The 16230-nt window shown below is 50.5% G+C and overlaps 1 annotated feature.

Moving 5' to 3' along the window:
- Nucleotides 7733-8326: an enhancer, noted in NCBI's record as "H3K27ac-H3K4me1 hESC enhancer chr17:56261589-56262182 (GRCh37/hg19 assembly coordinates)". NCBI's record gives its function as "activates a minimal SCP1, AML or CMV promoter by ChIP-STARR-seq in naive H9 embryonic stem cells {active_cell/tissue: H9 hESC(naive)}" and the evidence as "EXISTENCE:reporter gene assay evidence [ECO:0000049][PMID:30033119]".

Genomic DNA, 16230 nt, shown 5'->3' on the forward strand with positions numbered 1-16230 from the left:
AAAAAAATTTTTCAACTTGGGCAATGTAATAGGTGGGGAAATGTTTGTATATTATATTGGAAACTTAAATCCTCTAAACTTTTTTTTTATTCTACCAACCAGACCCCAAGGGCGATTTCTAATCCATAACCATTTTTACAGCACCATCTGTAAAATTCTGTGCAGCCAATAGGGGTTTCTTTTTCTGTGAATTTAAAGACAACAATTATTAAGAATGGATTTTTATGATCACCATGCTTGAGCAATGTTAGAGATAAAATACTCCTCCTTGCCTTGTGGATTTGCTCCCACCGCCCTGCCGTTCACGAGCTGTGTGTGTGTGCTGCAGAGGGGATCTGAGTAAGCAAGGAAAGAATCAGAATTGGATGGGTGAAGCCCAGAGGCCTCCTGAGAGAGGGAAGCATGAGGAGTGGGGAGAGGGGCTCCATGCCCTCTGACTGAACAGGTGTCAATCAAGCAGCGAGACTGCGAGTGACCACTGAGGTGAAGGCTGAGGGGGAGGAGGAGTTTGAGCTGGAGCCCAGACTCTGATGACAGGGAGTATACAGGGGGAGCCCCTGGACAGCCCTCCAGGAACTCGGAAGTGGGGCCCATGGGCTGTTAGGCCTGGCCCCACAGCTGACAGAAAAGCCATGAAGACCTGGAGCCTGGCTGCTTTGCAGTGAGAGCTCAGAGGGAAGGAGATATCGCTTTCTCTTTTCCTCCTCCCCACACCAACACCAGGCAAGAGGTGCTGGAAAGAAGGAGGAAGAAGTGTTAGAGAGCAGAGTCCTGCACCACCAACCACGCTCCACCCTCGGAGGCCTGGGCCACAGCCTCCCAAGTTGAGGGACAAGGTGGACTTGGAGTCGAATGTAAGAAGGGCATTTTCACTAAATAGGACAGTCTTAAAAACTGGAATGAAACTGGTGACTATTGAAATAAAAGTGATGAAAAGTGTATAGGACTGGACTGAGCTGCTGTGAAGGGAGAGAGTCACCCAGCAGGAAAGAGGGGTGACAAGGCACCGTTGGGAGCAGTCTTGAGAAAACAAGAATTTTTTGTTTGTTCCTCAGTGAGTAGCAACACCTTGTTACATGGATTACAACGTGTTTCTTAAACCTGAGTAATATGGGGAAAGATAAAGAAATAAAAAACATATTGAGGACTTCTACTGCTGACTTAAAATCTTTTTGTGATGGTATGTATGTTCAAACACAAAGCTATGTAAAAGTTTCTCATTCTTCTCTCTTCTGGGACCACGAAAGCAAATAAATGTACACAAAAAACACAATTCAGGCCAGGCGCGGTGGCTCACGCCTGTAATCTCAGCACTTTGGGAGGCTGAGGTGGGTGGATCACCTGAGGTCGGGAGTTCGAGACCAGCTTGATCAATATGGAGAAACCTCATCTCTAATAAAAATACAAAAATTAGCTGGGCTTGGTGGCGCATGCCTGTAATCCCAGCTACTCGGGAGGCTGAGGCAGGAGAATCGCTTGAACCCGGGAGGTGGAGGTTGCAGTGAGCTGAGATGGCACCATTGCACTTCAGCCTGGGCAACAAAAGCGAAACTCTGTCTCAAAAAAAAAAAAAATTCACTAGCAACAGATTTATACGACTGATCTGGGAATGTTTTTGAATGTGACATTTTCATTCTGCCACGTGTCTTGTGTTTTGACTCAGTTTCCCCACCACTTCGTTTTGCATTTGATCCTTCCTTCAAACAGTGCTGAAGGCAGCAAAGCATTATGTGTAGCATTTTTTAAAGAGGCAGGACTAGGCCGGGTGCAGTGGCTCATGCCTGTAATCCCAACACTTTGGGAGGCCAAGGTGGGTGGACCACTTGAGGCCAGGAATTCAAGACCACCCTGGGCAACATGGTGAAACCCCGTCTCTATTACAAATACAAAAATTAGCCGGGCGTGGTGACAGGCACCTGTAATCCCAGCTACTTGGGAGGCTGAGGCCAGAGAATCGCTTGAACCTGGGGGTGGAGGCTGCAGTGAGCCGAGATCGTGCCACTGCACTCCAGCCTGGGTGACAGAGCAAGACTCTATCTCAAAATAAATAAATAGGCAGGATTATTTGAGGCCAGCTGTATTGTAAACCCAATTACAAACCTGGACACTGAAATTGTGTGACTGTACTTGTTTAAAACACACACACACACACACACACACACACACACACACACAGAATTGTTTATTTGGATTTTTCTATGCTTAGTTGAACACGTTAAAGGGACTGTGAGGTCAAGCACTATCTACAGACCAATGTTATTCTTATTAAGGGCCTCTCCTTCCAGATCATAGTCCTTCATCCTAGGCTCCTCTGAAGTGGTATGATTGGTTGTGTTAATGGTACTTTGGCCTCCAGATTGTCTCTGAAAGGGTGTGGGTGATTTTATGCAACAAGTTAAACACTGTTTCATAACTCCCAGCATTCTTTTATCCCATCCTCAGTCCCAAGATCTGAATTTATTCCAGTATTACCCCCACCCCCCAGGATATTTTTTCCCTTCTCAAGGCCAACCCTATGTGACTTCATCTGGAGAAGAACTAGAGAGCTCTGAGGCTGCAGGAGGGATGGGTCATCCTGGAAGGTGGCCACCAAAGTTCCCTCTCCTGTTCTGAATGCAGGCTTCAGGATGCCCACCTCAGGGACAGGTCTGTCCTGCTGAGGCCCTGCCAACACCCAGCCAGGTTGTCCTCCCCTGCTCTGCCAGAGTGATGGTTAATATTGAGTGTCGACTTGATTGGATTGAAGGATACAAAGTACTGTTCCTGGGTGTGTCTGTGAGGGTGTTGCCAAAGGAGATTAACATTTGAGTCAGTGGACTGGGAAATGCAGACCCACACTCAATCTGAGTGGGCACCATCTAATCAGCTGCCAGCACTGCTAGGATAAAAGCAGGTGGAAGAACTACACTGGCTAATCTTCTGGCCTCCATCTTTCTCCTGTGCTGGATGCTTCCTGACCTCCAACACCAGACTCCAAGTTCTTCAACTTTTGGACTCTTGGGCCTACACCATTGGTTTGCCAGGGGTTCTTGGGCCTTCAGCCACAGACTGAAAGCTGCACTGGTGGCTTCCCTACTTTTGAGGTTTTGGGACTCAGACTGGCTTACTTGCTCCTTAGCTTGCAGATGGCCTGTTGTGGGACTTCACCTTGTGATCATGTGAGTCAATACTCCTTAATAAACTCCCCTTCATATATACATCTATCCTATTAGTCCTGTCCCTCTAGAGAACCCTGACTGATACACAGAGTGAAGCAGTTCCTGTATCTTGTTTCTCTAAGAGGGGCTGGTGACCCTTTAGAATTCAGCTCATTTGGCTGCCTTGTGACCTCATCTCTCTAATAGGTTTATAAAATGTTTATGTTGTGTAGATTACCCTGTGTTTACTTATTCTTCTGTTAGGAGCTGTGCATGTTCCTTGTGACTTTCTTCCTCCGAAGCAGAAGGAGAATTCTTTTTTTGAGTTTGATTCTGTCACCAAACATGGTGGCAGGGCTATGGATGGCACACTTAGTGCCTTTATGGGAATTAGAAAAAGGCACCCCTTTCACCAGGCTGATTTAACCCAACACCTGGACACAGCGTGGAGAGCATAGTGTAGGCTGGCTTTCAGCCCCCACACCTGCTCTCAGTCAAGTTCGTTGGGGTGGGGCTTAATTTGCAGAAACAATATGTTCAAACCAGCACAGAAAAAGATCAACATGGCTGGAATGTAGAAAGGTAGTTTTTTATTTCATACCTTTCAGACATCTGTAAGCTTGACAAACGTTCCCCTGCCTTCTCTGTCTGCCTTCGTATAAGCTTAGTCCAAAGTCCTGGTTTCCCCTGAAGGAAAAGATTTTTCATTCATTCATTCATTCATCCTTTCATTCAACAAAGCTTATGGAGGTCCTACTGTGTGCAGATCCCTTCATTGTGTCCCCGTGGGAAAGAAGAAGGCATAGTAGAAACAACACAAGTTTCTAGAACAAGGCAGCCAAGGTTGAAACTCCAGTTCTGCTTCTTACTAGCCCTCGGTTAGTTAAATCTTTCCTCAAGTCTCATTTGTGAAATGAGAATGATGACCCTTTGTCATGGAGTCTTCATAAAGCCAATGGGGCTGATGTAAATAACATGTTTTATACAGTTTCTGGCATACAGCAGTGGCCTACTATGTGTAGCTGTACCTGTGTACATACTTGCAGGCCCGGGGTGCTAAAGAGAAGTGCCCTTCTGGTTTGGATTGGCAAGTCACCAGCCAGAGAAGGGAGAGCCCCCTTCCCTCCCTGCACCCTGTGGCAGGCGTGGAGGGGTGCCACTCCAATGTCCCCACAAGGAAGGCAGTTAGCTGACAGGATCAGCTGATAGGGTGACACGAGGGACCACCCAGCTTTTGAGCTAAGGCCACACACTTCCCAGGCAGCCCCAGTTGATGACTGAGTGTGGCAGTGGGTGAAGGGCTCCCCATTTCTGGCTGTCTTTTTGCCAGGGCTCCTCACCAGTCTGGCTGGAGCTTTCTCAGAGCCCCAGCATGGTCTGTGACTCCTCCTGCCCCCTCCTCACTCCTTTTCCCTCCTGTTCACCGGAGCTGGGCTTGTGCTGCAGTCTGAAGGCATCCCCTGCCTATGCCTGCCCTCTCTGCTCTTTCTCTCATGGACATTGCCCTCTTCTAACTCTGTCTTAGCGTCTAGATGGACACAACTCTGCTTTCTCCCACAGCCACATTTCCTATGTCAGGATCTTGCTTCCCATTTGTATAGTGAGTTCCATGGCCAGCATCTCCTGGGACGGCCTCAGTTGTAACAGCTCCTGCTGCCTTGATGCCACACACCACCGTGTTAATTCTACCCACAATATTTGCATGATTTCTAGGTGCCAAGCACAGCTCTAAATACCGAGGATACAGCATTGAACTGAGCAGACAAGGGCTCAGCCTTCGTAAAGTATATGGTCTATGGGGGAGACTGACAAAGTAACAAATGGATAAATAATTTCATCTAACAAGAACTGTGGAGCAGATGCATGGAGTCATGTGACTGGTAGGGTGGGCAGCATCATGAAAGGTGGTCAGGGAAGGAATCTCTGAGGAGGGGGTGTTTGAGCAAAGACCTGGGCAATGAGAAGAAGCCTGTCAGGAAAAGATCTGAATGAAGAACAAGCATTCCGGACAGAGGAAACAGCAAGTGCAATGGTCCTGAGGTGGGAATGAGCTTGGTGTTAAAGGAAAAAGAAAGGAGGCTGCTGTAACTGGTGTGTAATGAACAAAGAGGATCTTGGGAGGAGGTGAGGTCTAATATTGCATTATTTATCTGCCACTGCAGAAAAAAATCAACCCAAAACCTAGGAGCTCAAAATAAAGTAATCATTTGCTATCGTTCATAGATGCCATGGACCAGGAATTCCAATGGCACAGCAGACAGCTTATTTCTGGTTCAGGATGTCTTTCCTGGGCCTCAGCCAGAAGATTCAAAGGCCAGGGATAAAATCATTTGCAGTTTCACGTGGTCATTCAATCTGGCTGTTGATGTTGATGTCGGCTGGGTGCCTAGATGTGCCTGTCAACTGGTCTCTCCTTGTGGCTTGGGATTCCTCACTGCATGGTAGCTGTGTTCCAAGCACAAGTATCCTGAGGTAGGAGCCAGGTGGCAACTGTATCCTTTCCACCGCCCAGCCACAGAAGTCACATAGCCTCACTTGTACTACATTCTATTAGAAAGAAGTGTGTTGCCAACTCCAGCCCACATTCAAGGGAGGGGAGTCACACCTCACACTTTAAGTGAGACATGTCAAAGAATTTGTGGAAATATTTTTAAATTACCATCAATGAAGACAGGAGCCAGGTCATTTTTAAAATCTTGAATTTTGTTCTATGTGCAATGGAAAGTCATTGAAGGGTTTGGGGTGGCAAGTGTTGGCATAATCTAATTTATGCCCTACAAAGGTCATGTTGGCTGCTAGGCAGAGAATGGGTTATAGAGGTCAAGCCTAATGAAGCAGGGTAAGAATCTGACTTGGAGAAGGAGACCTGATTCAAGTTCAAATTTCTGCACTAGCTAGCTATGTTACACTGGGAAAGTCTTCTAACACGGGAGGGTGTAGGGGTACTCTCTTGCATTTATTATTTTATTTATTTATTTATTTATTTATTTATTTAAATTTATTTTTGAGATGGAGTCTCAGTCTGTCGCCCAGGCTGGAGTGCAGTGGCACGATCTCGGCTCACTGCAAGCTCCGCCTCCCTGGTTCACGCCATTCTCCTGCCTCAGCCCCCAGGTAGCTGGGACTACAGGCGCCCGCCACCACGCCTGGCTAATTTTTTGTATTTTTTAGTAGAGACAGGGTTTCACCGTGTTAGCCAGGATGGTCTCGATCTCCTGACCTCGTGATTCACCCGCCTCGGCCTCCCAAAGTGCTAGGATTACAGGCGTGAGCCACCGCACCCGGGTTGCATTTATATGAGGATTTACCTAAGACCTGCAGGAAAGTGTTTGTTTCATGTCCTCCTCCATCAGGTGCCTGTTTTTGCTCACCACCATGTACCTAGTACCCAGCATGGGCTGTGGCATAGGGAGGCTTTCCATAAATATTTGTTGAAAGAGTAAACAAACATATAATATTGTAAACCCTGTGTTAGTCCTTCAGGTCAAACTTCTCTGATCTTCCAGGTCTGGAGTGTACCCACCAACCCAACAAGCTTTGAGGAATTGGGTAGCATCCGGGAGGAACATTGGGGAGGCTCTGGGCTCCATCTCTTCTGAAATAATTCCATGCCCCATCTTAAATTCAAGTCCATGAGGTCTGATTTCATTCAGAACCATCACCACTGCCCAGATAGACACAAAGAAAAGTAAGGCCGGCTCTTGCCCAGAGCCCAGCATGGGTGGCAGACCCAGGAGAGTCTGCTCTGGGGACTATAGGCAATATCAAGTGGCACATTCATGGCTGGCTAACGTACTCTCCAGGGACAGTGAGAAGGGGCGAGAAGAGCCTCTCCTTTTCCCATGACACCTACCAGAAGATGACACCATAGGAGGGGGAGTGGAGAGAGAGAGCAGCCCTCCCATAGCACGAAGAGCCCCAGCTAGTGGAATTCCTGCCCTTGACATTGGGCACTGACTGCAGCCATCTCCAGGGCTGCCGAGGGGTTGGGACTGCCAAGATCACCACCCGCATGCTCACCACCACTGTCAGAGAGACACTGAGGAAGCTGTGGCTGGGGACTTGGGGGTGGGGCACTGCATAATTTTTTAAATTGCTGATTTGCATTTTTGAGCCTTCTGAGTGCCCAGGCAAGAGACTGTTTCATTCAACAGGGTGTCTAGATTCCTATAACCTTCAGGCCTTCATTCTTTCTAGGTGTATTGAGATGCTAAGAGGCAAAAATGCAGCAGCATGGGCCTGTTCTCGTGGAGAGACTGTGTTGGGTTTGTATTTAAAATGTGTCAGGCCGGGCCCGGTGGCTCACGCCTATAATCCCAGCACTTTGGGAGGCTGAAGAGGGCAGATCACTTGAGGCCAGAGTTCGAGACCAGCCTGGCCAACATGGTGAAACTCTATCTCCACTAAAAATATACAAATTAGCCAGACGTGGTGGTGCACACCTGTAATCCCAGCTACTCGGGAGGCTGAGGCAGGAGAATGGCTTGAACCTAGGAGGCAGAGGTTGCAGTGAACTGAGATCTTGCCACTGTACTCCAGCCTGGGTGACAGAGTGAGACTCCTTCTCCAAAAAAAAAACAAAAATTGAAAAAAAAATGTGCGGGTCAAGGGAGGTTGGGGGAGGGTGCAGCCCTCTCTCCCAGGCGTCTGCCAGCCCCTACCTTTTTTGTGTTCCTTCCCCTTTCCTGCTTCCCCTGCTTCTGAGTAGCTTCTATCCTCCTCAGGACAGAAGCAATTAGTCCACGTGGCTCACCCAGGAGGGGGCCCCAGGAAACACCTCTTGGCCAGCTGCAGAGTCAGTACAATTGGTGCAGCCAGTGCGGCCTGTCAGACTCTGTGGGGGAAACCAGGCCCGCCTTGGCCTGCTCAGGCCTGAGGCATCCTCCCAACCTGTGGGAGGTGGCTTCCTTCCATTGGGTCACATCTGGGAACTTGGTTTAGAATTAGTCTCAGGTTGCGATCCCCTTCCTGGCTCCAAGATCATGACTCATTCTTTTTTCTCTCTGCTTCAACCATCGAACAAGTCCCAGTCAGCAGCTCCCGCCTCAGAGGGTTGTTATAAGGACTCAGGCAAGAGCAGTAAAGCACAGGGCGCTGGGCTGGCATACAGCAAGAGGCGAGGGGCAAGGAATTGCCCCGGTCAGCTGTGCCCCCTCCTGCTAGAGTCCAGCACTACCAGGGCTCCAGTCACACTGGCAGTGCCCCATGGGTCACATGCCCCACTAGCCTTCCTACTCGTTACTTCATTGATCTAAAGCAAGGTCTGTCTCTTCTGCAAGCCCACAGACCCTCTCCCATGCCCCAGGCCCTGCCCTTGGGAGCTCCTAGTCTGATGGAGGAGGTGAGGTACAAACTGTCACATCAGGCCAAGGCAGGAGGGAGGAGAGAGGGGACAGGTGCTTGCCCTCAGCTGGCCCTCTAGTGTGGACCTGTGCACCTCCCAAGTGCTCACCAGAGAGCCCTCCTGCCCCCGCGATCTTCTTCTTGCCCTTTAGTGACTTTACTAGCAGATCAGAGAGGCCAAGCCCTTGCTCAACGTCACACGGTCAGAAGTGGTGCCAGACCCCCAGGCCAGCTCTCCAAGTCCCCGAACTGAGTTTTCTTCAGCCTTGCTAAAGGCAGAGGACTGAGAGCTTCCTTGGTCAGGAGAGTCCTCATCTCTGGACCACACATGTACACATGTGTACATATACACATGCACACATGTGCACAAACTCCTGGCCTGCCTCAGCCTCTGGTACAGTGTGGGGCCACTGCAGTTTGAGCCAGAACCCTCCTCCCTGCACACCCTCAGTGTTCTCATGAAAATAGGGCCAAGGACCTCATTCTCAGGAAGCCCTGGGAGCAGAAGCAGGCCCTTCAGGCCCCGCACTTTGGCCAGTCCCTGCTGTCTCAGTTGGGGCCGTTGGAGCTGAGCAGATAAAGAGATCTAATCAGGCCTGTGGCCAGCAGCTCCACCATGGACGGTTCTTGTGAAAGCAGAAGCTTGAAGTTTTGAGCTGGCCAGGGGAGGGTAGGCAGGTGTGGAGGATATTGGGTATTGCAGCTGAAAGATGCCCAGGAAGGAAAGCTCCCTCATGGTCTAGGGGCTGGATACTGACCAGGCAGGGCCAGGCCTGCCACAGCATCCACTGACCCAGGGCTGGCCTGGCCCCGAAAGAACAATGCCCCTGACAAAAGGCACTGAATCCTGACGGATGTACAGGCACAATCCATTCCCTGACTCAAGAGCCAGCCATGAAAATCAAGGTGAGAGCAAATGCATTCATTCCACAAATACATATTCAGCCTCTGCCAGGTATTGTGTTAGGTAATGAGGTTACAGTGAGCATCAAAACAGGCACACACCTGTTTTCTGTGACACTCACAGACCTGCAGGGACTGGAGCTTAGTCAAATCCAACCCTAGAGATATGTGTTTAATGATGTTACTCTCTAGGAAGGGAGCTACAAAAGTAAGGAATGGGAAGGACCAGACTGTGGAGGTGGGACAGAAAAGCTCTCTGTGGATAAGACCCAGAGGATGAATAAGAGTTGGCCAGGCAAACAGACGGAAGAGGCTTCATGGTTATGACCCAAAACAGGAAGGAAATAGGCCTGTTTTGGGGACTGTAAGCCAGTGGGTTCAGAGGGCAGAGGAATAGAGGGTGAGGGGATGGGACACTGGAGAGGAAACTGGCAGGTGCCAGACTGTGCAAATCCCTGCGGGTTCCCTTTCCTTAGGAGCAACTGCAGCAGAGGCGACTGGATGTTTACAGGACCAGTGGTGCCAGATCTCCCAAGGCCTCATACTCCCATAGCCACCAGGGAGGGAGGGACAGCAGCAACCAGAGGGCCGGCTGGTCAGGGCCCTCTTCCCCAAAAACACCTCTACCTTCTCTGTCCCCTTCATTCCCAGTCTCCAAGCAGCCTTGTTTTCTCCTGTCGCCCCAAGAGCAGTCTTTCTGGTGGGTCTCATTACAAACATTTCCTCCTGTGTAGCTTGGTCTTGGACATTTCTTTTGCCCATTTCCCTTTCTGGAGAAGAGCTCTCCCACACAACTCCCAAGCCTCTGAAGTCCAACCAGGTCCCAGGCCTGTAGGGAGCCTGGCCCAGGCCCAGCAGCGGGTTCTGGACTCCACTTATTGAGGGAAGAGCTCACACAGGCCTTGAAGGGAGCCGGGCTTCCCACATGCCCAGCCCTGGGAGGTGTCCCAAGTGATGTCCCCAGCAGGTGGCCTCCATGTCCAGTGGGTTGTCCATCCTCACCTCCCTTGGACAGCACCCGCTCTAACCACCCACCTGGCCAGCCTTGCAATGGAGATGGCCTCAGGACCCACTTGGTGCCCACCCTAAGGCTCTTCGTTCTCTACATCACCTCGTGGTGGCACCCCCACCCCTGCCCCACCCCACCCACCTGGCTTATCAAGGTCAAAACCCTGGGAGTGGCTGAACTGCCATCTGGAGAAGGAAGGAGATTTGGGATGTGGGGAGGGAAGGGGACCTGTCTTCCTTTCCAGGGTGAAAAAGGGTGTGTGGACTCACAGAGTTAGTCTGTGACGTGGTTCACTCATGTTCCACAAACATTTCTGAGCGCTGGCCCTGGGCCCAACCCTGTGGTGGGTACAAGGTATGCAGCTGTAAATGAGACCAGGACTGGGGATCAGTGGCCAGTCCAGGAGACGGACACGGTGACAGCATGCCTTCAGTACAGCACAGTATGTGTTGAGGGAAGTATCAGCATCAGGTGCCCCACAGACAAAAATGGGGTGTCTAATTCAGATCATATCTGGGGAGTGAAAAGGAAAGGGATGAGAGAAGGCTACCTGGAGAAAGTAATGACGCGGCTCAGTTGGGAAGATGAGTAGAAGTTAATCAGGCAAAGGGAACACGTGCAAGGACCCAGGGGAGAGGGGAACACGGTGCATCAGAAACCTTCGGGGGATGAAGCTGGAGTGTGGAGGAAGGGTGGTGGAAGAGGTGAGGGCAGAGGCTGGAGAAGTCCTCCAGGGCCTAGGAAGCCATGGAAGGATTTGGAGTTCCCTGTACTGCTGCTGAAGGAATATCATGAATAGACCCCACAGACTGTGACCCTGCCCACTAGGACCCTGGACGGGCTGGGCTCATCCCAGGACACCCATGAGCAATTCCTTCTCTACCTCCAGTGCTCTCCTCTTCCCTCTCCCTGGGAAACCAGAGTGTGTTGAAGGCGGGGTGGGGCAAGGGTATGGAAGGACACGAAAGCCTCCCAACTTGTCACTTAGCAAAGGTAATTAGACGGGACAAATGCCAGTACCAAGGACAGGGCAGAGGAAGCCACCCGTTCCAGGGCAGAAAATAAGGGGTTCGTCATCTATAGGAAGTTTACAAGAAATAACAACACAGATAAAAGGTCAGGCTGCTTACGATGATCACCATGCAGGGGCAAGTTTACATAATTTCAGAGCTCAAATCCTGCTCCCCAAAGAAATCTTGTGTTGGTCTAGATTCTAAACCATTGCTGTGATTACCATTGGGCTTAGTAATATGTGGAAGCTTCAAGTTAATGCACTTTTATTGCTTATCCTTTAAGAAGCACTGTCTTCCATGTGGAAGTTGGTTGGGAGAATTCCCAGTCATACAGTGGCTCGCTTGGCTGAGTATGTTCCCTCTGAGGATGGGCTGATGGCTCAGATTCCTCTGAGCGGTCTTTGGTGCAACGTGCGCCTCCTGCCCCTGTTAGCACTGTAGATTCTTGCATTTAAACAGCTCGTTCGATATAAACAATGATAGCACAGTGATTGTAAAGATGAGGAGACAGAACTTGATTTTTAAGTGCAAATTTTACTTCATACATGAAATATTGTACTGAATTTGAATAATTACTTTAAGATCTAATTTATTCTTCTAAGTTTGTAATTGTTCATTTTAAAACTAATGAATGGATCAAGAAGACAGAAAATGTAATGACATATTAAATATTAAAACTACAAATATGTATGTAGATTTCCCCTTTATTTAAAATGCATTCATGTAATTTAAAAGTATTAATTCATTATACTTTTCTTTTGTATATTATTTATTTGTTTATTTTGTTATGTCTCTACTGGCATGATTATACATAAAATTCACTAAAAGAGAACTTTTACATATTTCTTTGTTGGCCATTATTATGACTTGCTTCATTTAACGAGTATTACTAAAAATTATTTTGTTGTGTAGAGGAGGGGGTATCAAAAAATAATCTGTTCCCAGGCCAGGTGCAGTGGTTCACACCTGTTACCCCAGCACTTTGGGAGGCCGAGGCAGGCAGATTGCCTGAGGTCAGGAGTTTGAGACCAGCCTGGCCAACATGGCGAAAACCCATCTCTACTAAAAATACAAAAATTAGCTGGGCATGGTGGGGGGTGCCTGTAGTCCTAGCTACTTGGGAGGCTGAGGCAGGAGAACCACTTCAACCCAGGAGGCAGAGATTGCAGTGAGCCAAGATTGCGCCACTGCACTCAGCCTGTGTGACACAGCAAGACTCTCTCTCTCTCTCTATATATATATATGTGTGTGTGTGTGTGTGTGTACGTGTGTGTGTGTGTGTGTGTGTGTGTGTGTGTATATTTCCAGTGTCAGATACTCCAGGTTGCTACTGCACAACACTTAATGCTAAGGAAAATCTTGCCAATGAAATCCCAGTGGGCACGATGAAAAGCCCACGAGGGGGACACAGAGGGCAGGGGGCCCTTGCCTACACTCCTCTTCTTGTCCCTGCATGTGGTTGGCCCTGACCAGAGGGAGGAAAAAGCAGATGTCGACGTGGACCACTGTGAGACATGGCGAGCACCCTGCATGTCACCTGCCCCATAGTGGGGGCCAGAGCTGGAGAGGGTGGGTGGGGTCCAGGCTGGAAAGCCCCTGGAGAGGGGCTAGAGAGGTCTCTGTCACTTCATCACGTTCACTCCGTCTCCAGTGGCCCCGTATCTGGCACGCCCACTCTGACATGAGGAGGAGTGCTTGGAGAGCCTCGGTCTGAACAGCCCTAAACTTGGAGGCCTCCCTTCCAGGCGCCCAGCCCTGAAGGGTCTGCAAATCCCTTGCACTCACTGCCTCCACCCTTCAGGCCAATGGCAATTGCTGCCTTTGACAGACAGCCTCAAGGGACCTCAATAAAGGAAGCAACAATAGGGCAGAAAAACAAGGTATGTTCAACAACACTGTTGAGCGCCTGCTATGTGTCAGGAATGATGTCTGCGAGGTAGACTAGGAATGACCTCCATCTGACAGTGAGGAGGTGGGCTCAGAGGTTGAGGAGCCTGCCCAAGTGGATGACGGTGCTAGAATGGGGACCAAGTTCAGCTTGTAGCCACCTCCCTGTACTGCTCTCAAGGAGCTCCCGCCTGCTAAGTGCTGTGGCTATGGCACCAAGCCCAGCTTGTGGGGTGACTCAGAAATGGCTTCCCAGAGGGACCTGCTAGGAAGAGGAAGCTTCCGGCAGAATTAGGAGCTGCTTGGAAGGAGAGAAAAGGTGGGGGTTATATGTGGAAGGTTAGGATGATTGGAGCCTAGGGGCAGGGTCCTGTGGGGGAAACGTGGCAGAAAGTAGGCTAAGGAGACATCCAGAGCCAGAGTCCAGGAGAGCCAGGCAGCAGGCTCTCATCACCACCCCGAGCAACCAATAGGTCCAAATCCCCAAGAGATCAGCCACCATGGCAGGGCTGGGCTTAGAGCCTAGGTTTCTGTCTCAGGCTTGTCCCAATAACCCACGGCAGCCCATGGCTGTGGAGAAACCCTTGCACTGCTCACTATTGTTGAAGAACTAGAGTACCCTCTGCAGGGAGAGCAGAGCTCACTCTGAGTGCTGGGGACCCTGGAAGTACAGCAATCCAGGATACATGCACCCCATCCTGGCTCCAACCTGGGTTACATACACCCCACCCCAACTCCAACCTGGAGTATATGCATCCCATCCCAGCTCCAACCTGCGGTACATACATCCCACTCCAATTCTATCCTGGGTTACATACACCATACCCCAGCTCCAACCTGGAGTACATACATCCCACCCCAACTCCAACCAGGGGTACATACGCCCCACCCCGACTCCTACCTGGGGTATATACACCCCACTCCAACTCCAACCTGGGGTACATACATCCCACCCCAATTCTATCCTGGGTTACATACACCCCACCCCAACTCCAACCTGGGGTACATGCACCCCACCCTGCCTCCAACCTAGGGTACATACAGCCCACCCCAACTCCAACCTGGGTTACATACACCCTACTCTGGCTCCAAGCTATGGTACATACACCCCACCCTGGCTCCAACCTAGGGTACATACACCCTACTCCAACTCCAACCTGGGTTATATACACCCCACCCTGGCTCCAAGCTGTGGTACATACACCCCATCCAGCTCCAACCTGGGGTACATGCATTCCACCTGGCTCCACCCGGGGAGCACCTGGCTCCCTGAGGGCCGGGAGGTGACACACAGCTGAGGAGTGCTGTGTGATTTATATAATCTCTCTCCTCCATGAGGCTCCCTGTCCCCATCTCACAGGTTTGGAAACAGGTCCATGGAGGGGTGTGATTTACCCAGTCACTCAGTGGGTCAGCATCAAGGAACCCAGTGTGCTTTCAGCTCCTACACAGTGACTTCTACCCAGGCCCCCCGTCACAGGAGAGGGGCCTCCGCTAAAGATAAGGAGATAAGATTAGGAGGGCTCAGGCCATCAACTGGAGCTTGTGAAAGGGGTTGCCGAAGAGAGGTGGTTGTTTCAAGAGCAACGGTTGGGCTGGTAACATTGCTGTGGGAGGAGGAGGCTGTGGAAGGCACCGGGCAGGGTTTCGGTAGGGTGTGGGGGTGGGGGAGGAGAAAGGACACTTGGAACAGCCTCCCTGGGAGTCTGGAGCAGGCACGGGGTCCACACTGAAGAAGGAATGGACGTGTCCTCCTGAAGAAGGGGCGAGGACACGCAGGCTGCTGGCCACAGTGGTGGTGACTCTGGAACTGTCTCAGGGATGAGCATGTGCTCTCCAGGCAGCCGGGATGAGGTCAGAGGCAAAGGATGAACCTGGCTCATCCAGGGCAGGGAACTACAGGAGGAAGGCTTAGGTGCAGAGAGGGTGGGCCCTGGCAGAAGGCCGACTGGGATGCACTCTGCACTTAAGGTGGAAATGGAGGCGCACTTAAGGTGGAAATGGAGGCTCACCCAAGGTCACGAAGCTAGTGACAGGGCTGGATTCAATCCAGGCCAATCAGACCCTGGTGCAGCACACTGCCTCTAAAGAAGCTACTTCTCACCAAGCCCAATAGGAACTCATAATTGAAATCTACTTCTCAGAGTAAACCTACTACTGATTGGCACCTAAGAAACTCCAAGAGAATAAAGCCCATGGCGGGCGCTTACTTTTAGGCTCTGCAGCAGCTCACTGGGCTGGGTGTTTTACCTGTGACATCTCGCCATGTCCCCAAAATGGCCCCATGAGGGATTTCACTGCCAGGCCCTGCCTCAGTCACAGCCTCACACTCTCCCTGGCACCTTGGAGGGAGTGAGTAGGGCTAGGGGATAAGGAGAGGGGCCAAATCATTCATCACAGATCATTCATTCACTCAACAAACACCTGCTAAGCACATACTAAATGCTGGGCTTTGAGCTGGGTATGGGGGGTGTGTATAACAGTAAGGCAGATTCAGTTTCTGCCCTGTTGCAGGAGGAGAGGCACCCTTCCAATCATCTGGCCCAACTCTCATTCTAGGGATGTGAAAACTGAGGCCTGGAGAGGGAAAGTGGCTTGCCCAAGGCCATGCAGCCAGGCGGTGGCGACTGAGGTGCACCGCTCCTGTCAGCCAACAAATATCCATTGAGCGACACCTGTGTCCCAGGTGCTGCTCTGGGCCCTGGGAGAAGTGCATCAGTGGGCTTGGTAGTAGAGGGTAGGGATGGAGTGAAGGGTAGGCAGGAAGAATGTCCCCAGGCTGGTAGGAGGTGGGGTGGGGGGTTTCAGTCTCAAAACTCCCATGAAAACCAGAGAGAAGTTTCAGAACTCCACCCAAGAGGCTGGGTTTCTAGGGCCCAGAGCTGCCCTCCCCCACCCTAGAATGGGCTATAAAAGTCCCTTCCCAGCTACGTCCAGA

This window comes from Homo sapiens, chromosome 17 (assembly GCF_000001405.40).
Source record: "Homo sapiens chromosome 17, GRCh38.p14 Primary Assembly".
Classification (NCBI taxonomy): Eukaryota; Metazoa; Chordata; class Mammalia; order Primates; family Hominidae; genus Homo; species Homo sapiens.